The following is a 23286-nucleotide window of genomic DNA, read 5'->3' on the forward strand; positions in this document are numbered from 1 at the left end:
ATCCATCCATCCATCCATCCATCCATCCATTTATCCATCCACCTATTTATCCATTTTTTTCCACTTGTATTATTTTTTACACATATTAATTGCCTTGATGCTGTGAATAAGCACAGAATCACCTAGAATCTGATTTATGTGTATCTGTTGTAAGTAGACTTTCATAGACGTTTCATTTTGTTACTAATCTTCTTTCAGATTCTGTGCCTAAGGGATCTGTCACACGAAGTGCAACTAGTTTAGTTGTTAGAAGGCTATTCCTTTTCTCTGTGTGCCAATCAATTTAGTATCAGCATCCCTGCACGATACTGGCCAAGCAAAGTCAGACACTGGCGAAGCTTAGCCTCTTTATCAATCTGAAGGATAGTCCTGAATGCTCATATTAAGTAGGTCGCTTTAGAAGTTACCAAACATCCAAACTTAATGACTTCCTTTTAAAGAAATGACATGTAAAATTTGCTCATTTGATATTCCTTCAATGACCTTGTGGACTTTTCAAACTGAAAAGTTTCAAACTGAAAAGTCCAGGATGCAACTCTGGACCTCCACCCCTCCCCGACAAATGTGTTCCTCTTCCCAGTCTTCATCCTCTCAGTCAATGGCATTGAACACTTATTGCCCACTGTAAGAAAGGGGCAAGCATCTTATTCTCCTTCTTCCTCATCTTTCTCTTTTAGTCCAACAGCAAGACCTATGACTCCTATTTCCAAAAATAGATCTGGAATCTGTCCCTCCGTTCCTATTGTGGCCACTGTGGTCCTCCTCCAGGATCTCTCCCCTGAGCTACTGCAGTAGCTTCCTCGGTGGACTTTTTATACTCCTTCTCTTCTTCCAGTGTATTCCCTTCACAGCAATCAGGGTAATCTTTTGAACATACAAATCAGGTAATGCTACTCTCTGCTTAAATCCCCTCATGGCTATACAATACACTTTAAATAAACTTCAAACTCCTAATTACCTAGGAAGCCCTAAATGATCTGACATTTGCCTATCCCTACAAATCCATCTCAACCTGTATTCCCTCTAGCCAACTGGAGTCTAGCATTGCTGGCCTTCTGTATTAGTCCATTTTCACACTGCTATAAGTGTATGTAATTTATAAAGAAAAGAGGTTTAATTGACTCACAGTTCTGCATGGCTGGGGAGGCCTCAGGAAACTTACAATCATGGTGGAAGGCAAAGGAGAAGCAATCACCTTCTTCACAAGGTGGCAGGAGAGAGAGAAAGAGTGAAGAAAGCCACATGCTTTTAAACCAACAGATCTTGAGAAAACTCACTCACTCTCATGAGAACAGCAAGGGGGAAATCCGGTCCTATGATCCAACAGGCTCCCACCACATCCCTACCCTGACACATGGGGATTACAATTTGACAGGAGATTTGGGTGGGGACACTGAGTCAAACCATATCACCTTCTCTCTTCCTGGAGCACATCAACTGATCTTCCAAGGACTCTGAGAATACCCTTCTCTTTGCCATTTTAACTAAGTCAGCTTCATTCCCACCCTCAGATCCCTCCGTTGGACTCTTCCCCCCAGAGTTTATAAGTGCATGACAGTGAGAGTTCATGCCCATGTTGTCTACCATTATATATCTAGTTCTAATACAATGCCTGAAACCTAGAAGGCATTCAATAATGACCTCAAGGCCTTCATATCTGTGTTTTCTGTTCTGAAGTACCCTTCCTCCACATATTCACACCACTTGCTCCTTCATATCAGTTCCCTGAGCTCCTCTCCCCTGTCACCTCTTCCAAGAGACCTTCCCATCACACTCACCCATAGCTCTCTTTACCTTTAGGTAAGCCTTCATTATGTGAACTATTTTATATATTCCCTTAAGGAACATGAGCTCCATGAAGGCAGTGGCTTTGTTCATTGCTTTATGTCCAACACTGAAAGTAGCACTTAGAACATAGTGATACTTCATAGACATTTGTTGAATGAATGAATGTAGAAAGCCAGGGAATGTAACATTAAAATCCAAAGTGAAATTGCTGTGAAGAAGACTAGAAAATAAGTTTGCATTAATTGCCAATTATTAGCAGCGTGAGAACAGACTAATACAAATGCAAACTCATTTTTCAAAAAACTCCCTGATTTAAAAATTACAGGTATATGTATAAATATATGTGTATGTGTCCATATGTAGACACAGACACATAGTAACAAATTATAACAAACCAGTGTAACAAATCAGTATGGTTTTGTAGTGTGACAGTTGACTGTAAAACAGTATTAATATGCTTTGTAAAGAACGAAGGGTTGCCGGAAGGTATTATATTATGTGTTTATAATATCTTCCTAGATAGAAAAAACTATGTAAATCTTTTGTTCCCTTGTCCTATGTGTGCTTTGACTGACCCATGACTACTTGGGCAAATTTTGGACTGCTTCCTTTGGTAGGAAATAACTGAGACCATACATTTGTAAGGCATCTATCTGGCCAAGGTCATGGACATAGCCTAGAGCCTTGAAATCATTTTTCTTGGGGAGCTCTAACTAGTGTAAATAGTGCTCTGGCCAATGACAACCAACCTTTTAGTCTCTGAATCGACATGAAAAAATCTCTTCTTTTGCCAGGGATGGATTTGATCCATAGACCTCAGGACTATGGGCTCAGTGTGCTCTGTGTGTCATTCAGCACTGTGCCCTGGCTTCCCTGCCATCATGCACAATGAATGGCTGTGAACAGGTTGGGAGTTGTTGGGAAAGGCTAAGACCTGTCTTCCCAGTTGATGTGGACCGGACTTTCCTACCAGCTCACATTTGGCAAGAAGATGGCCCTCGATGTGTACAAAGCTCAGATGCAATTTTGTCACTGGGTGGGTCAGCTGGCTGCTCACCAGCTTCAGAAAGAATGCAGTGGAACTAGGAAAATCTTTAGGGACAAGAAATAAGAAAGCTCAAGATGAGAAAGCAGCAAGATCTTTGGAAATTTGGGTATATTGCTGAAAATCTCTCGGAATTGCTGTTATTGGTTCCTGAAAATCTTTTAGGAGAATAGGAACCATGAAGAAAAGATAACATAATTAATAACATTTTTGTTGTTGTTCGAGGAAACAAAGCTATAGGTCCCATTTAAATAACCAAACATATTGAGTCAGGTTGATCAACCGTTCTCCATTTCTTTCCCTACTAAGCCTGAATAAGTGATATAGGTTTAAACTATGGCAGTCAGAGTTTGCATTAAACCTAACACATAGCTTCGGGACCAGAGTAAACATGCCTCAGTCTTATTTCTTTGTGGGGTGGGCTGGAGAATCTGTGTTTGAATTTGGACTTGCCACGGGGAGGCCCCTCTTCCGTTCTCATCTTTTGAATCACCAGGTTCCTTGAGAAGCCAAGATCTGTCTTCCTAGTTGATGTGGACCGGACTTTCCTACCAGCTCACATTTGGCAGGAAGCTGGCCCTCCATGTGTACAAAGCTCAGGATGGGATCCTGAGGGGACAGGTGGTTTTCTGAAAGACCAGCAGAGGGAGCTAAGAAACAAGAGTTTTTTCCTTTTGTCAACTATTCCCAGTGGTTACCGATGTGGATAAACAGTCTTTTCTCTACCAGGTTATGATCTGGAACATATTAAACCAAGATCCAAACACCCCGTAATTTGGCAAGTGAGTGTGCCTTGTGTATCAGTCACTCTGTGCCTCCCTGAGCCAGCCATGTGGTCTTTGTCTCTGAGTGCTAGGAGGACAAATGCAACACAGGCCAGTCTATGTGGATGTCTGCACTGCTTTATGATCCTCCTGGGGTGGAGGCAAAGAGAGCAGAACCCAATCGCATTTTGGATTATGAGACTGTTTCGCCAATAGATTTCTCCTCAATTCTTTTGTTCTAATAAATTAAAGAATGGCTTTCCTTAAGGTAATAGTGTTAACCCTTCTGAGATGCTTTATAAAAGAGTCTGATGACAATCTCTTCATAAAGGAAGCAGCCAATTACCCAGGGCAGATAGCACGGGGTTGATTTTATGTTAGGTCAGTCAGCAAATGGACCAATCAGGTAATTTACAAATTAAAAAAAAATAGCCATAGAAAGGCAGGAAAAAAATAATAATTCAACCCAGAATTGCAATTGTAAAGAGAAAAAGAAATGCTTTTTAAAAAGTACATAAATTTGAATTCTCGAAGAAATTCATCTATGAACAGAATCCATTAAATCTCCAAACAAATGGACTAATAACAATAATTTTGCACTAATGGAAGACCTCCAGATTATTTCCTGGGCATTAGTGGGGAATGATGACTAGAACCAAATGGAACATAAGTATTATTTGAATCAGTCTTTATTCTTCAGATGTGAATGAAATAATGATTATGGACTGAATTGGGCTAAAAATAACTACAGAGCTTTTATTTATTTACTTACAGAGTCTCCTGCAATGATTCAGACTTGGCTTTACTGGCTTCTTCCATAGATAAGCACCAGCCTAGGAGCTCTCAAAGTTGTTCCAGCTAAAGGACACACTCAGCTTTTGGTCTACAGTGACTTCCAGCCTAAGTGGCTCTGGACACTGCTGGAACCCCCCGCTCCATCTCCCTCCATAAATATGTCTCTGCAGCAGGTGAGTGACAGCTCCTTCTCAGAAGGTCAGAGTCCTCAGTCATCTGGTGATTTCACAAGGCTCAAATATTTGGTCCCTGACATAAACTTGGTGGCTTTTTCTAGTTCTTATATAACTGAGAGTTAGCTAGGGGGCTGCCTGCTGCTTGAGATGGAGGCAAAATTGGCTTCAACTCTCTAATAAATGGGCCTATGGAAAGTGAAAACCAAGATCTCTGCTACATCTCTCTAGTGTGGACTCACCTTATATGGTTCTCAGAGTCTTTTCTGCCTCCTTGGACTTCCACTTCCTCCCTGGTTGTCTAGGTCATCCTATGTCAAACTTGAACTTGGCCTTTTAAGTTTCCACCACAACAAAATCATTCATACAGAATGCAGCCCCCTCCCTCTCAATGGCACCCATTTAACTTGCCTTCTTTTCTGTGCTGAATTTGCCGAGGAAATCCAATGTCTTCTCCTTTTATTTGTAGTGCATTCAGCTGCTTTCTCTTCAGCCTTGGTGCTGACCTTCATGAACATCCATGGTGCTGGTTGTGGTGGATGGGGGAGGAATGGAGGTGAATTTTCCCATAAGTCCTTCTCAAAGTATTTCCAAAGGGGAAGAGTGACTTTGCTAAGATAAATTTTGGTGCAAACCACAGGTTGATATTTTGCCAACCTCATTATGATGATTTTAACTCAATTATTAGTATTTATTTTCATTTTGAGATGGAGTCTTGCTCTGTCACCCAGGCTGGAGTGCAATGGCATGAATTATTAGTATTCTTGAAAGAATAGCTACTCTCACCTCCATTAAGCTCCATTCACAACCTCCATCTTTTTAAAAAATTTTTTTAATATACTTTAAGTTCTGGGATACATATGCAGAACGTGTAGGTTTGTTACATAGGTATACATGTGTCATGGTGATTTGCTGCACCCATCAACCCGTCATCTACATTAGGTATTTCTCCGAATGCTATCCCTCCCCCAGCCACCCACCCCCCGCAGGCCCCAGTGTGTGATGTTCCCCTCCCTGTGTCCATGTGTTCTCATTGTTCAACTCCCATTTATGAGCAAGAACATGAGATGTTTGGTTTTCTGTTACTGTGTTAGTTTGCTTAGAATGATGGTTTCCAGCTTCATCCATGTCTCTGCAAAGGACATGAACTCATCCTTTTTTACGGATGAATAGTATTCCATGATATATATGTGCCACATTTCTTTATCCAGTCTATCATTGTGCATTTGGGTTGGTTCCAAGTCTTTGGTATTGTGAATAGTGCTGCAATAAACATACATTAGCATGTGTCTTTATAGTAGAATGATTTATAATCCTTTGGTTATATACCCAGTAATGGGAATCCTGGGTCAAATGGTATTTCTGGTTCTAGATCCTTGAGGAATTTCCACACTGTCTTCCACAATGGTTGAACTAATTTACACTCCCACCAACAGTGTAAAAGCATTCCTATTTCTCCACATCCTCTCTAGCATCTGTTGTTTCCTGACTTTTTAATAATCACCATTCTAACTGGCGTGAGATGGTATCTCATTGCGGTTTTGATTTGCATTTTTCTAATGGCCAGTGATGATGAGCTTCTTTTCATATGTTCGTTGGCCACATAAATGTCTTCTTTTGATAAGTGTCTGTTCATATCCTTCACCCACTTTTTGACGGGTTTCTTTCTTTGTAAATTTGTTTAAGTTTCTTGTATATTTTGGATATTAGCCCTTTGTCAGATGGATAGATTGCAAAAATTTTCTCCCATTTTGTAGGTTGCCTGTTCATTCTGAAGATAGTTTCTTTTTCTGTACAGAAGCTCTTTAGTTTAATTAGATCCCATCTGTCTATTTTGGCTTTTGTTGCCATTGCTTTTGGTATTTTAGTCATGAAGTCTTTGTCCATGCCTATGTCCTGAATGGTATTGCCTAGGTTTTCTTCTAGGGTTTTTACAGTTTTAGGTCTTATGTTTAAGTTTTTAATCCATCTTGAGTTAACTTTTGTATAAAGTGTAAGGAAGGGGTCCAGTTTCAGGTTTCTGCATATAGCTAGCCAGTTTTCCCAGCACCATTTATTAAATAGGGAATCCTTTCCCTATTGCTCGTTTTTGTCAGGTTTGTCAAAGATCAGATGGTTGTAGATGTGTAGCATTATTCCTGAGGACTCTGTTCTGTTCCATTCGTCTATATATCTGTTTTGGTACCAGTACCATGTTGTTTTGGTTACTGTAGCCTTGTAGTATAGTTTGAAGTCAGGTAGCGTGATGCCTCCAGCTTTGTTCTTTTGGCTTAGGATTGTCTGGGCTATACAGGCTCTTTTTTCATTCCATATGAAATTCAAAGTAGTTTTTTCTAATTCTGTGAAGAAAGGCAATGGTAGCTTGATAGGGATGGCATTGAATCTATAAATTACTTTGGGCAGTATGGTCATTTTCACAATATTGATTCTTCCTATCCATGAGCACAGAATGTTCTTCCATTTGTTTGTGTCCTCTTTTATTTCCTTGAGCAGTGGTTTGTAGTTCTCCTTGAAGAGGTCCTTCCCATCCCTTGTAAGTTGTATTCCTAGGTATTTTATTCTCTGCAGCAATTGTGAATGGGAGTTCACTCATGATTTGGTCCTCCATCTGTTATTGGTGTATAGGAATGCTTGTGATTTTTGCACATTGATTTTATATCCTGAGATTTTGCTGAAGTTGCTTATCAGCTTAAGGAGATTTGGGGCTGAGACGATGGGGTTTTCTAAATATACAATCATGTCATTTGCAAACAGAGACAATTTGACTTCCTCTCTTCCTATTTGATTATTTCTTTCTCTTGCCTGATTGCCCTGGCCAGAACCTCCGATACTATGTTGAATCGGAGTGGTGAGAGAGGACATCCTTGTTTTGTGCTGGTTTTCAAAGGGAATGCTTCTAGCTTTTGCCCATTCAGTATGATATTGGCTGTGGATTTGTCATAAATAGCTCTTATTATTTTGAGATACATTCCATCAATACCTAGTTTATTGAGAGTTTTTAGCATGAAGGGCTGTTGAATTTTATTGAAGGCCTTTTCTGCATCTATTGAGATGATCATGTGGTTTTTGTCATTGGTTCTGTTTAAGTGATGGATCACATTTATTGATTTGTTGATGTTGAACCCAGGAATGAAGCCAACTTGATCATGGTGGATAAGTTTTTTGATGTGCTGCTGGATTCAGTTTGCTACTATTTTATTGAGGATTTTTGCATTGATGTTCATCAGGGATATTGGCCTGAAATTTTCTTTTTTTGTTGTGTCTCTGCCAGGTTTTGGTATCAGGATGATGCTAGCCTCATCAAATGAATTAGGGAGGAGTCCCTCTTTTTGTATTGTTTGAAATAGTTTCAGAAGGAATGGTACCAGCTCCTCTTTGTACCTCTGGTAGAGTTTGGCTGTGAATCCGTCTGGTCCTTGGCTTTTTTTTTGATAGGTAGGCTATTAATTACTGCCTCAATTTCAGAACTTATTGTTCTATTCAGGGATTTGACTTCTTCCTGGTTTAGTCTTGGGAGGGTGTATGTGTCCAGGAATTTATCCATTTCTTCTAGATTTTCTAGTTTATTTGCATAGAGGTGTTTATAGTATTCTCTGATGGTAGTTTGTATTTCTGTGGGATCAGTGGTGATATCCCCTTTTTCATTTTTTATTGCATCTATTTGATTTTTCTCTCTTTTCTTCTTTATTAGTCTGGTTAGTGGTCTATGTATTTTGTTAATCTTTTCAAAAAACCAGCTCCTGGATTCACTGATTTGTTGAAGGGTTTCTCCTGTATCTATCTCTTTCTTCTGCTCTGATCTTAGTTATTTCTTGTCTTCTGCTAGCTTTTGAATGCGTTTGCTCTTGCTTCTCTAGTTCTTTTAATTGTGATGTTTAGGGTGCCAATTTTAGATCTTTCCTGCTTTCTCCTTTGGGCATTTAGTGCTATACATTTCCCTCTAAACACTACTTTATCCGTGTCCCAGAGATTCTGGTATGTTGTGTCTTTGTTCTCTTTGGTTTCAAATACCTTATTTATTTCTGCCTTAATTTCGTTATTTACCCAGTAGTCATTCAGGAGCAGGCACAGCCTTCATCCTGATACACAGAAATGCCTGGTTGGAGAAGGGCAAAAAGTTGAAAATATTCCTTAGTAGAAAAAAAATGTGCACTAAAAAGTATTTTTTATTAAAATACGGAAGGAAAGAAAAATACAATGGGTTCAGATGGGCATATGACAATAATAAAATGTCTCACTTCCCTTCCTCCCCTTCTCTCCCAGCACTCCCCTGAGGTTGCCACTTTTGGACATTTCTGCTTTTAGCTCTTCTGGTGGTTAGAATCATGACTTCCCTGACTGAGAGGCATGACTAGCCCTGAGCATGAGGGTGGGGCTTGTGCGCTGGAAGGCTTAACTTGAACCTTGTGAGCAGGAAGTCAGGCTAGAACCACTCCTAAAGTGCCTGGGGAGGATGGGACTTTTCACTGTTGGTTGCTTCCTCAAATCCAGTGGTTCTCGAACTGGAATCCTCAGCACTGCCTGAAAAGTTGGTAGAAATGCAAATTCTTGGGCCCTACCCCAGACTTATGGAATCAGAACCTTTGGAGGTGGCGCCCAGCAACCCATGTGCTATTTTAACAAATTCTCCAGGCCATTCTGATGCCTGCTCAAGTTTGAGAAGCCCCGTTCTAAGACAGCCAATCAAACAACCAAACACCACCACCAACAACAACAAAGAGACAAAACTCATTTCTTCTTCCAGTGATTGGTTTGGGGTGGGCACGTGACCCTGCTCTGGCTAATGCAGTGCAATGGGAGGCTTGTTTAGGGGCTTCCGGGAGGCGGTCGTGCTCTTGAAAAAGATGCTTGGGAAGAGTAAGAGGCATTGCACCGGGTGCTTTCCCGTGTAGGTGAGAGGCATGGGGCTGCTACTGCCATCTTGTGGACACACTGAGTGGAGGAGGTGAACCGAGGGAAGAACCTGGATGCCTGAGGAATGAATGCCAGAGCCCCAAGAGTAACCATCTGGGAGCCATCCTACTGTGGACTTCTTGTATGATATGTATTATTTTTTAAAGTTAAGAACATGTTGAGTTTGGTTTAGCAGTGAGGCACCCGAACACAGTTCCATTCTGGAACTGTATCTCCTCCCAGACATAGATAAGTGGCTGCCAAGAACAGCTCTCTGGGTAGGCTGGGCCATAAAAGCCACTATTACATGAACAGGTGAGGGCGGTTGGGAGGAGAAATGAATCTACTTCACTCTTTATTCCATAGGTATTTTCAGTCGTTTTCACACCTGCCATTTCTGAGTCCGGGGCCCTTCTGGCGCCCTGCCCTCTTTCATCCTTCTCTGGGCCATGTTCTGAGCTGTTGTTCCCTCTGCTAATGTTACTTCCTGAGTGTAATTCCATCCACTGACAGGCTTCCAGAAGTTAATGAAAATCCTTGGCCTGCCCATCCTTTCCTGTGCCCGCCATTCTTCCTATCTTCCTTACTGCCATCTATTTGGGGAAAGCAGAGAGATAAAGGAGTGTTTGGCTTGCCAACTTGAATGGGAAGGCCCAGATTGTTTCATTGTTTGCTTTTACTGAGACTTGGTTATCATTCTCCCTTTTCAAAAGAAGAAAGAAAGATGAAATAGTGGAGGAGGAGAGCTGCCCAGCAAGATTCCCTCTGGGACATCCATGTAACCCTCTTGGAACATACGCTAATGCTATGGAAATGATTCTTAACTCTTCATTTTGTGGCTTCTTCCAAAATGCAGACCATTCAAGGTAGATGGGGACACTGTGGTGAGTCAACTTGATGGGGAGGGGCTCTCAGAGCTCCTGAGTTTGCCCTAGATTATATCTATCCTTCCCTGAAGCTTGGGTGGACATCTTTCTCTCTAAGAAGATGAAGAACATGGGTCCCTTTGCCTTCATAAGTTTGTGAAACTGAAATTTCAGTTGTCCAGCACAAGCAGATTGAGAATGTATATACATCGTTTTATTCAAACCTTCAACCACATGATGTTATCTTGAGGTAGCACTTACACTGGTGAGAAACCACCGTGGGATCTTAGGGTCATCTCAGATAGGCGTCCTTATTCTACTGTATAAGTTTTCTGAACCAAACTTCCTTCATTGTGACATGGTTTTGCCACAGCTGGTCGTTCTCTTTACTCTTTGATCCTGGTTGAACGATTCATGTAGATTCTATCTCTCTTTAAATGTCAGAATGTGACATTCAATATTTTTCGCAGTATTTGTTTTATGTGTATTCCTTAATGTTTCTGTTTTAGTTAAATACAGTCACACATCATTTAACAATGAAGATATGTTCTGAGAAATAGGTTGTTAGGTGATTTCAGGTGATTTCATTGTGCAAATGTCATAGAATATACTTACACAAAACTAGGTGGTACACACCTAGGCCATATGGTACGGGCTATTGCTCCTAGACTACAAATCTGTATAGCGTGTTACTGTACTGTAGGCAATTGTAACACAGTGGTAAGTATTTGTGCATCTAAACATATCTAAACATAGAAAAGGTACAGTAAAATACAATATTATTATCTTATGAAACCACTACTGTATATGGGATCTGTCATCAACAGAAATGTCTTTATGTGGCACATGACTGAATACATCAAACCTTAGGTTCATTGCTGTGTGAATCAGGGACCTCTATGTTAAAAGGCACAGTATGGGAGAAGCATTGTGATCTGGCCCAGGGTCAGGATGTTGAGGCTTTTACTGGCTCTAGAACTGAGTCAATTCAATCTTTTCTTTTTAAGCTTTAGACACTTCCTCTGCAAAAGACGATAACTTAATCACAGCCTCTGACAGGTTTGTGGAGTTGAGGCTTGACAAGGGTGTTAGGTAAAAACTGCAGTCTTGCATATGTGAAGCCAAAGGTCTGAGCTGTGAGCAAACCTATCATCACCGCTATTGAGTGACAGCAGTCACTCGGCCTTTCACATTCCAACTTAAAAAGCAGATGCATATTCCTATGGCTTTTCTTTGTATAAACACTATCCATAAAGCAATGGCAGAAAAGTTCTGGTTTCTTTAAAGTGGGAGTGAAAACTAAGACATATTTTAAGGTGTTCCAAGTGTAGGGGTTTTTATGAGTCCCCCTTCCACTTACCCACATGTGAATTGACATATTTTTGCCAATATAAATTTATTCTTCCTTTCCAAAGCCATTAACTTAATATTCATAAAAAGAGCTCTGTTTTTTCTTTTGCACTCATATTTCATTGGTTTAAGTAACCCACTTTATCATATAATTAGAATAGTAAGTACGGTTTATATCATCTTGGAATGCATTAGCTGGGCAACAGATAATTCACTTGGTGGGAGTAGAAGTAAATGGTGTACTACCAGCTGTGAACACTCAGCAGCTACTATGCACTCATCAAAGAGTGTTATAAAGGGTTACAGAGAATTGGGAACTTAGTTAAGGGCAGATTTGTTAAAAAAAAAAAAAAGTATCTTCTTTGCCAATCAAATGTGTCCCCTCAAAGTAGACCTCTAGAGCCTGGCTACTCAAAGTCTGATCCAGAGACCAGCAGCATCACATCACATTTTCTTTTTCTGGAGGATCTAAGGGGAGAATCATTTTCTCACCTTTCCCAGCTTCTAGAGGCTTCCAGCATTGCCTGATGGCCCCTTTCTTCCATCTTTCTGAACTTTGTTTTGTACTCACACTTTCTACTTCTACAGTCAAATCTCTTCTTACCTCCTTCTTATAAGGGCACACTTGGATAATCCAGCATGGCATCCCCATCTCAATATCCTTGACTTAATCGCATCTGCAAAGTACTTTTACCATATTGTGAAATAATAAGAAATATATAAGTGTGTGTGTGTGTGTGTGTATGTATAGATAGATAAATAGATAGATACCTAGACAGATAGATAGGTACATAGATACCTAGATAGATACATAGATAGAGATATTTGTCTCTGACCCTGGTTCCTGACATAGAGCTCCTAAACTTTTCTAATTCCCTAAGTGGTACGGGTACTAGCAGCATCATTTGTTCTAACATTTGGTCTTTGAGTCCAGTTCCTGACACAGAGCTCTTAAATTTCTTGGTATTTTCTGGGTGATAAGAGTGTCTTTTATTCAAATGAAACAACTCTTGATGAGGCCTTGGATAGCTTTAGGATAGGGGCTTGTCATCAGAAAGACAAGGCCATGATTAGAAGCTTAGCACTTTTAATTCCCAACCTTCATTCTCTGGGGAGGGCAGAAGAGCTAGAGATTGAGTTAGTAATAGATCAAGCCTACATGATGAAGCCTCCAAGAAAAAAAAATTTCCCTCAAGTATGGGTTTTGGAGAGCTCTGGGGTTGGTAAACACATCCATGTACCAGAAGTGTGGTGCACCCCAGCTCCACAGGAATAGAAGCTCCTGCACTCAGAGCCCTTCCAGACCTCATCCTATATACCTCTTTATGTCCTTTATTATAAAAGAAAATGGCAAACACAATAAGTGTCTCCCTGAGTTTTTTAAACTATTCTAGCAAATTATCAACCCCAAGGAGAGGGTCATGGGAGCCCCAGTTTATGGCCAGTCTGTTAGAAGCACAAGTGAGAACCCTGGACTTTTGACTGGTGTCTGAAGTGGGGGCAGTTTTGAAAGACTGCGCCCTTCGTCTGTGGCACCTGATGCTAACTCCAGGTAGATAGTGTCAGAACCGAATTGAATTGTAGGACACCCAGCTGGTATCAGGGAATTGGTCGACATGGCAAAAAAAAAAAAAAAGAAAAAAAACCCCACAAAACAAACAAACAAATAAGAACAACGCCCACATTTTGGTGACCAGATGCAAAGTGTTGAAAATGTAGAGGAAAAAAATAACTTTTTTTTTTCTATATACATGTAAAGGAACACATTCTCATGTTCTAGGGATTAGGATGTGGATATCCTCGGGGGCTGTTATTCAGCCTACCACAACTTTGCTGTCAGATACCATTTTAAGGTAACTTAATGATTATTAACACTACTGTTTAACAAGTGCCTGCTATGACCCAGGCACTTTACATATACATGAAACCTACTTCTTATAAGAATACCCCACAGTAGATATTATCACCCTATCCATGTAGATGAGAAGTCTGGGGTTCAGAAATCCCAGTAATGACAGAGCAGGGGTTGGTACCCAGACCCCCATGGGTCCCAGCCTCTGACCTTCTCTTGGTACCTGACTCATGCCACCATCATAATCACCTGTTTTATTCCCAAACTCAGAATAAGGTACGCCTATGTCCAGGTTTGTCCAGTGACCTGTCGCGTTCACTGATCTAAAGTCCATGCTTAAAGATTTCCTTTTGAAAAGGAATCTTTAATGTTACATGAAGACCAAATTGATGGTTTCGGTAAAAAGCCAGAGCAACTTCCTGTGCACTATCAGCTGACTGATCAGGGTTCTTTTCTAGAAATCACACACCCAGTCAGGGAAGGTCTCCATCTTCAAAATTACAGGAGTTAGACAGAAATGCTGTCCCTTGGCAGGAAGTGGCTTGAGAGATGCCACTCTAATGGGCTTCCTTGATAAACTGTGCCTTAAGGGTTTAGTGGAGCCATGGGATGAAACTGGGAAAAAACAGGAATTGCAGACATAGAAACATTTCAGTCAAAAAAAAAAAAAAAAAGAAAAGAAAAGAAAAGAAAAAAGAAAAAAAAAAGCTCCTATACTTGCTCTGGAAACTTTACTCTGTACAGAGATTAACTTCTTCTTAATTATGTAGCCATTATGTAGCCATAATCACTTTGTTGTTGGTATCATCCAAAAGGACAAGTTCTGGATGCATAATGGCTGCAGTCTGTTTTTTGCCTTTTCTTCACCTTCCTGATTCCCAAAGTCCTACAGTAAGGTGGGCAAAAATCTATGTAGTTTTAAAATTTGTAGGCTATTTTCTAATAGACTTTCTCTACGCTAGATGTTTTGGGGCATTTGAAGGTGATCCCAGTAGATTCCTCTGCTTGACCAAAATTATCTTTCAAAACTGAAATCGATTTTTATCTGGTGTCAGGATTATAACTCCCCCCTCTCCTACCTACCCCTTACCACAACACAACTTCCTTTCACCTGGGGAGTCTAAGCTGATCAAACTGCATGTGCCATTGTTTGCACACGTACTGGGCCACTGGGCAGGCAAGGAGGGGCTCCTTAAACCACACCAGAGGTTTTTGGTCCAGAACTGGTCACCACCCTCAGCATGTCACCATGCAGTGCTTTGTGGACTGAAATCCATCTGTACTCACAGATGTGGCTGAACGCAGAAACACTCAAAGCACCCCCAGACTCCAAAGCCTTACTGTGGCATAATATCCTCATTGCTTTTTCCCTCCTTATGTCCCTGGAGCTACACATGAAACTTCTTGGGGGCAACTTCAACTAATGCCAACTTGATTAACATTGGAAATAGTTATGTTTCAAATAAAAATGTACACAAGTTTTAATTGCACTGGCTACCTCAAATTTTCTGAACAAAGCTTTTTTGCATAAGAGATAAAGGTTGGTGACGCCTTTTATGAAATTGGTCCAAACTCATCAGAACTAGCAATCAAAAATTAATTCCTTGTTTTATTTTGAATTTTATACTTCATTGTAATGATCGTATTGTATATTTCTGAGCATTAGGTTTGCAACAACTCATGGATAAAGTATGGATTTCTGACCTGACCTGTAAGCAAATTACTCCTCCATTCCACACCTCTTTTCTGTGAAAAGGGATGACTTAATCTCTGCCCTATTTACATACAAAGTCATGATGACAGTCATGAGAAGGAATTGGATTTGAAATGGCAATGAAAGTCAAAGTGTTATCTTTGCCAGTGTGTGGACTCAGTTTACATTAAAGTTACAGGTTCCCACCAGCTCCTCCTCTCCCCAGGAGGTCTGGTGTTCTACGTGTAATCACTCAAGGTGAACCATGACTTTCATATCAGCAGTGAAATCAGCTGCTCTAGTTATTTCCTGTTCTGGCAGCACCCTGCTGAGCATCTCGTGATTTCAGGAGAGTAGAAGCTGGGTGGTGGAGCAGTCCAGGTTTGTCTTAAAAATACAGTTCTCCAGCTGTTGTATTGGATTTCCTCTCACAGAAACCTAAGGTCGACAGAGGATTACAAATTTGCCTTTCCATAACTTGGATCCCTTGCTCTTCTCTAGGTGTCGAGATTATAACTCTCTCCTTTCCTACCTACTCCTTCCCACGACACCACTTCCTCTCACCCAGTGTGTCCAAGCTGATCAAACTGGGTGTGTCATTGTTCGCACACTTGCTGGGCCATGGGGCAGGCAAGGAGCGGCTCCTTAAACCACACCAAAGGTTTGTGGTCCAGAATTGGTCACCACCCTCAGCACCTCAGCATGCAGTGCTTTGTGGACAGACAGCGTCCTTTCTCACTCTTTTGAGTGACCCTCCCCAGCTGGCTCAAGTTGGCCTTGCAGCCTGATAGGCCTTTTAAACAAGGAAAGGAAGGTCTCTCAGCACACTTTAACTTACTAGTTATTCAGCTTATTTTCTTAATAAGCCACAAGCTCTAAGGGCTCTTCAGAACTCCTAATTTCAACACTGGAAATTATTTTCTTCTCTTTATTAAGAATTTGCAGCCAGGCGTGGTGGCTCACATCTGTAATCCCAGCACTTTGGGAGGCCAAGGCAGGTGAATCACTTGAGGTCAGGGGTTCAAGACCAGCCTGGCCAACATGTTAAAACCCTGACTCTACTAAAAATGCAAAAATCAGCCAGGCATGGTGGCACATACCTGTAATCCCAGCTATTCGGGAGGCTGAGGCAGGAGAATCGCTTGAACCAGGGAGGCGGAGGCTGCAGTAAGCAGAGATTGCACCACTGCACTCCAGCTTGGATGACAGAGCGAGACCCTGTCTGAAAAAAAAAAAAAAAGAATTTGCTACATTCCAGACACTATATTGAGTGCTTTTTATATATAAGAAGTAAAGCTTAAAGAGGTTAAGCAACATGCCCAGGGTCACCCAGGCAGTGAGCTGAAGAGGTAGGATTTGAACCCACTCTGGCTCGAGGGCCCATGTCTCACCCTAGCTCAGGCTCCTGAACCTCCCAATTTTTCCCCATCAAGCTGGGCACATGAGCCCTCAAGGACAGCTTTGCAAAGCACCATGCAAAGTGCTTGAGGCAAATACGAGTGTCACTTGGTGCAGACACCCTCAGGCCAAGGTCAACAGCCACATAGGCTCCCCACTCTCCAAACGGGAGAGGTGCGCTAGGTCTGGAGTTCAGCTGGAAACACGTGGGCCTGTGCTCCAGCAGAGGGCTCCCATCACCTCTCTGCTCTCTTTTTTTATGAAGCAAGGGTGACAGCGCCTCTGTTTTGCTTCTTGAACCGGCCATTCCAGTGCTCATTTAGATGCACCGGTAATGGTTCATAGGAGTGTAGAATATCCAGCAAATTCCACGATGCTGGGTGTGGTCATGGGAGGCAGTGGTCATAAATGAAGTTCTTGCTGTGGGATTGTCAGGGAATCCAGCACATGACAAAGGGAGTTATCCATGATCATAGTAGTCTGTGATCATTCCCTTGGAAGAGACAGACAACTTCATGCCTTGAGAATGTTTTCAAGAAAGTGAAGTTCCCTAATCGGGGGCAGGGAGCCTATAAAGTTAGCCTTCTAGTTGTGGGCCATGCCACATCCTGGTGGGATGCAGCCCAGCTCACTCAAACCACATGCCGCTTAGCTGGTAAGCAGTCCATCTCTGTGTCACATAGATTCCCTGTTGGGCTTCCCAGTCCTTGGTGGCTGTTTCATGACTGTGCTGAGTCCTGCAGGCCTCTATGGTCTGTTGTATAATATTATGGCTCCTGCATCCAGAGGCTTCTTGGGCTTCTTCATTCCAAATGCTTTTCTCAGAAGCTGTCTTTTCTGTGCGGCACAGTCCCACACTGCTAGCTGAGAGGATGGGGACTGTGAGCACCTGCTAACTCTTCTATCCCTAGTCCCAGCCTGTGGAAGTGATGGCCCTGGTGTTTTCTCTAGCAGAGTATACCAACGTGGAATGAATGATGCCTGACTAGGCCTGCAGAAGGGGTCAACCAGGCCCTTCAGGGTGGTTTATTTCATTTTGGAAGGAGGAGGAGAGACCCTAATTGTTCAGGTGTAGACACATCTGATACTGGGAAATGGGTGATGTGGGAGTAAATCTCTCTCTCTCTCTCTTTCTCTCTCGGTGGGGCAGGCTCTCACTCGGTTGCCTTGCTGGGGTGCAGTGGCACCATCTCAGCTCACTGCAGCCTGGACCTTCGGGCTCAAGTGATTCTCCCACCTCGGCTACCTGAGTAGCTGGGACTACAGGTGTGCCACCACGCCCAGCTAATTTTTGTCAAATCTCTCTCTTCTTTGAGGTCTGAGTATGACAGGACAATGGCCTCCATTGATGAGCCACTGGGGCCAGAGAGCAGAACCATGCAGCTGAGAAGGACCGTCAGATGAGTGACCTCTGGAGCTCTCTGGACAGCCTGGAAGAGTGGCTTCTTTCTTCCAGGGAGAAAGCCTCAGTCTCTCCTGGACTGGGCCCCAAACTCTCTGCACTTCACACTGGACTGGCCCTGAACTCTCCAGGTGTTAAGGAGCTGACATTTTCCCCCAACTCTCTAAACATCTGGTCTCTAAGCTTAGACTACCTGACACCTAAATCTATAATGTTTATTTATCCTGAGCAAAACCTCTCTCATACTAGCCCCTCTGCAACAGCAGACAGCTGCCTCACTGGGGAAGCTCCACAGTGCATGACCTCTGTGGGATGCTAAGAGGATGGGACTATAGCCACCTGCTGACCCTCAGACCATTACCAATTGTATTTGCTGATGTTCTTCCTGAGCCACTCTGAGTGACAAAAAATATTTAAGGTTGAGGAAAGAAGCCTTTGACATTATTTAACTATGCTCCAATGGACCTCTGCCCTAAACACCAGACTCAGACCCAGCTGCCTACTGGGTGGCAGTAGGATCTCCATTTGGAGATGTTTACTGGGCATCTTTGGCCTAATGCAGGCCTATCTCCAGCCTCTGTCCAGCCTGCTCCTTCCCTGTCTTTCCCATCTCAGCAAACGGGACCTTCTCCTTTCCATTTTCTCAGGCCGTGCTCGACCTTGTCATTTTTCCCTTGACTTCTCTCATTCTGTCACGCCTGTCATCCAACCCGTTGGGAGAGCAGATAAGATTGATCCAGGATATATATGAAGTATTGGCCACTTCTCATCACCTTCTGGCTACCAGCAGAGCCTTTGCTGGTCTATATTGTGTTGCTTTTCTACAATTTAGAAAAACATCACCCCCATGACTGAATGGGTGGCAGAGCCTTTGAGTAGAGAACGATACTCCTTCCTTGGATGGCTGAAGCCCCACAGTTAGACTCTGGGCTGATGCTCAGTGCCCTGACTAGACTCCAGCCCCACCTATCCATGAGGCTGGTGCCTTGCTCCCTGCATCACCTGCACAATCATGCGCAGTGAGCTGAGCAGGCCACGCTGGTGCAGACCTGCTGTCTCACTCACCTAGACCATTGCAGTCAGCTCTAAGGTCTCCGCTTTTACCCTTGCCCTACCACCTTTCAGTCTGTTCTCAATGCGAGGCCACAGCGATCTTTTATTATTTTATTATAATAATAATAATAATTATTGAAACAGAGTCTCTCTCTGACACCCAGGCTGGAGTACAGTGATGTGATTGTGGCTCACTGTAGCCTCAAACTCTTGGGCTCACACATTCCCCCCATCTCAGCCTCCTGAGTAGCGGCGATTACAGGTGTATGCCATCCTACCTGGCCAATTTTTTTCTTTTCTTTTCTTTTAGAGATGGGGCCTCAACTGTGTTGACCAAGCTGTTTAGAATTCCTGGGCTCAAGTCATCCTCCTCAGCCTCCCAAAGTGCTGGGATTACAGGCATGAGCCACCATGCCCAGCCTGATTATTTAAAAGTATACATCAAATCAAGGCACTCCTCTGCTGTAAACCTCACTCTAAGCAAAAGCCAAAGTTCCAGCAAAGTCCTATGAAGCCCCATACAATTCGTCCCCTATTACCTTGTTGACCCATCTCTTGTTATCTTCCCCTTCCTCCTTTTGCTGTGAACACAAGACCTCCTTGGGGTCTCTTGAAGTGCTAGGCCTCCTCTCACCTCTGGCAGAGCTCTTGCACTCACACCTCCATCTGCTGGAAGGTTCTCCCACATAGGTTTACCTGGCTCATTCTCAACCTGGCTTAGGTCTTTACTCAAATGTCACCTATTCTGTGAAATGTCACCTTCGCTGTCCAACTATTTAAAAATGCAATCTCCCTCCCCTCTCCCCTCAATCTGACATTTCTTTCACCCCTTCCCGTAGCACTTTTTCTTTTTCTCCACAGCCCTTACCACCATCTAACACGTTACATTTATTTCACTTATTTATTTTCTTGTCTCTTTCCTCATTAGAACAAGCTCCACAAAAGCAGGCGTTTTCATCTGTCTTCTTGTTGGCTGTGTTCTCAGCACCTAGAGCACTGCCTGATCCCTAATAGGTGAACGGTTCCTTTATATTTGTTGAATGAATGAGTGGCAGGAGGCAGAGTGGGTCTATTATGTGGAAATATATGAGATTGTTCTTGCCAGTCAAAAGCTGTCAAATATTGGCAGCTTCACGTGGTTCAAATTAATGTAACGTAATACAGAACAATGGCCAAAAGGAGGTGTTACGTGAGGGACATTTGCTCCTGATTTGCTCAGTGTGCTCCTTCCTGTTGGAAAACATGAGATTCTTTTATAATCCCCTGGGAACGAATTTCCCATATAAATAGACATTTCCCTTCCTGAGCCCATCATTCACAGAGCAGCCTTCTTCCAGGTAGAGCACCAGCAGTAATAATGCCCGTCTTGGCCTTCAGGCCTCCAGATATAAATTTTTTGGCTATGGGACAATTTTTTTTGGCTATGGGACACTTAGAAAAAATAAAGATCAATAGACTATCAAACTGTAGCCAGACATCAGATCCAATGCCAGGGACCTTGGCAAAGGTGACATCAGTAACGAGAGGAGGTGCCTCCAACTGACTGCTCAGGGCTGGGAGGAACAAGCCTCTGTGGTCTGAGCCCAGGAGCCTGCACCCCATCCACTGGGCTCACACAGAGTGTTCAGAGCCCAGAAATCTCTTCCTCTGCCAGGTCTGCCTCTGCTGAGCTTGCAAAAAGGCATAGTCCTATTGCACAAATCTTTTTTTTTTCTTTTCCTTTCTGTTTTTTTTCCATATACCCAAGGGAATGGGAATAAAACCTTAATTTTGTGCCTTGTAAATACAGCTTTTAAAAAGATATAGACTATTAAAATCCAAATAAAAAAGATCTTTACGTTTGGTGTCTCCAAATGCTATATTCCAGGACGTACATGCTGAGGCATCTGTCAGTCAAGACCACAAGATACAGCCATCCGGCCTATGCACTTAGTATTTGCTAAAAGCGTGGTTACTGGTTGAGTGCGTCTGCAACACGGGGGCCCACGTTCAAATGCCTGCACGAGCCAGGTGGGAAATACAAGCGAGTGAAACTGGCTGACTCACGGCCACAAAGAAATGTGTTTCCTCCCAATCTGCTTGACTTCAGGCCATCTTTTTTTCCCCTCACTTTTGGTTAAGATGTGGGTACAAAAAGTATTATGCTTTTCTTCTTAAATCTATTAGAAGGAAAATATCAATACAAGTGTGACCACAATAGCACCTGGCACAGTCTCCCAGGAATGTAAAGGTTTGTGCCAATTTAGGGCACTTGATCTGCCTCAGAGGGTCTGCCTCTGCGGAGCTTCCATCTGCTGATTAACAGGGCATCACCCTACTTCACAAAGGCCTGTGTTCAGAGAAACCTCCCCCGGCTTTGTGCCATGGCCAGGGACCTCCTGACAAAGGTAGACCCTCACCTTCTGACTCTCCTGGAGTCTGTTCTTCACTCTGACCCAAACTATGTCAAGTTCAGAAAACTGATTTCTGCCTCTCCCTCCATCCATTTATCTGATGCTCATCCGTGAGGCAGCTGGAATAGGATTGCTCCATTCCCCTGCCCAGGCATTGTTTTAAATCCCTGCAGAAAACAACAGCTACAACCATCATGGTAATGAGGGATGACGGTGACAACCACAACCTGGAGAGCTCGATGGAGAAGGAGAGGGAGAGATCTGGTGACAAGTGACTCTCTTCAGCAGATCTAATCACTCCTAGAAAGATGTGACTGCCTTTTCATGCACAGCATCACTTAAAAGTTCTAGAGAACTAGGCAAGGGGTAGGGGAAATGCAGCTGAAGTACATAGAAAAAAGTCTGCTGGAAATTTGAAATGATACTGAGTACAATGTACATCAGAAAGATTAAATGGAAATAAGGCAAAAGTAGGAAAGTTTCAGTCAAAGTTGAAGGCTTGAGTTTTAGCTGGATGTGGTCTTGAGGAAATGCAGGTTCAGTGGGACTACATCATCGGATGTTTCACGAAGCAGGAATTCTGCTTTGGAAAACCAAACCAGCCAATAAGCAAATGAAAAGATGCTTAACATCATTAGTCATCAGGGAAATGCAAATCAAAACCCCAATGAGATAATAACATTTCATCCTAACCATCCACTAGAATGGCTAAAATAAAAAAAGACTGATGATAACAAGTGTTGGGGAATACGTGGAAAAAAATGAAACCCTCATACATTTCTGGTGGAAATGTAAAATGGTGCAGCTACTTTGTAAAACATTTTGGTGGTTCCTCAAAAATTTAAACATAAAGTCACCATATAACCCAGAAATTCCACTGCTATGCCCATACCCAAGAGAGATGATTTTTTAATAAAAAAAAAACTTGCTTATTCAATTGAAAATAATTTTTAATAAAAGCAATGATAATGCCATTTTGTCAGGGGAAGATAATAGTTTATAAAACTTGTGCACAAGGCCAGGCATGGTGGCTCACACCTGTAATTCCAGCACTTTGAGAGGCTGAGGCAGGAGAATCACTTGAGCCCAGAAGTTTGAGACCAGCCTGGGCAACATAGTGAGACTCCAATCTTTATAAGTAATATAAGTAAACATAAGTAAATAAATAAATAAATAAAATTTAAAAAACTTGTGCACAAATGTTCATAGCATCATTTTTCATAATAGCCAAAACCTGGAAACAATCCAAATGTCCATCCACTAAATGAACAGATAAACAAAATTTGATCTATCCACACAATGGAATATTATTTGGCCATGAAAAGAAATAAAGTTCTGATACATGCTGCAATATGAATGAAACTTCAAAACATGCAAAGGGAAAGAAGCCGGTCACAAAAGACCACATATTACAGTATATGACTTCATTATGTGAAATGTCCAGAACAGACACCTTTGTCCATACACAAATCTATAGAGACATAAAGTGGTTGCCTAGTGCTGGGGAAAATGAGGAGGGTCTGCTAATGGGTATGGAGTTTCTTTTGTGGAAGATGAAAGTGTTCTACAGTTGATTGTGGCAATGGTTGCACAACTCTGAATGTACTAGATCACTGAATTGTACACTTTGATGGGTGAATTGCATGGTATGTGAATTATGTATCAATACAGCTCATAAAAAACAAGCAGTCAGGTGAAGAACAAACATGAGAAACTGTCTTCAAATGCAGATAACAGTAACAGAGATGACAAAATGAAAGACAAGGAAGTGACAGAGTGGAGAGCTAACATGCAGATAACTGATGCTCCTGAAGAAGATCC

The 23286-nt window shown here is 42.3% G+C and overlaps 1 protein-coding gene across 1 annotated transcript in view, besides 2 other annotated features; it reads left to right on the forward strand.

Annotated features, from left to right (window-relative positions):
* The first annotated feature begins 4410 nt into the window (after positions 1–4410).
* ARHGAP25 (Rho GTPase activating protein 25) overlaps positions 4411–23286 on the forward strand; it is a 116290-nt gene continuing 97414 nt past the window's right edge. The window contains exon 1 of the mRNA XM_011533207.4: positions 4411–4565. The gene's annotated coding sequence lies outside the window, so the exon portion shown is untranslated. The remainder of the gene's footprint in view (positions 4566–23286) is intronic.
* Positions 8804–9098: an enhancer, noted in NCBI's record as "tiled region #5025; HepG2 Activating non-DNase unmatched - State 21:Repr, and K562 Activating DNase matched - State 8:EnhW". NCBI's record gives its function as "activates a minimal TATA promoter and a strong SV40 promoter by Sharpr-MPRA in HepG2 and K562 cells {active_cell/tissue: HepG2 | K562}" and the evidence as "EXISTENCE:reporter gene assay evidence [ECO:0000049][PMID:27701403]".
* Positions 9367–9446: an enhancer, noted in NCBI's record as "active region_15958". NCBI's record gives its function as "activates an Ori minimal core promoter by ATAC-STARR-seq in GM12878 lymphoblastoid cells {active_cell/tissue: GM12878}" and the evidence as "EXISTENCE:reporter gene assay evidence [ECO:0000049][PMID:35858748]".

This window comes from Homo sapiens, chromosome 2 (assembly GCF_000001405.40).
Source record: "Homo sapiens chromosome 2, GRCh38.p14 Primary Assembly".
In the NCBI taxonomy this organism is placed as follows: domain Eukaryota; kingdom Metazoa; phylum Chordata; class Mammalia; order Primates; family Hominidae; genus Homo; species Homo sapiens.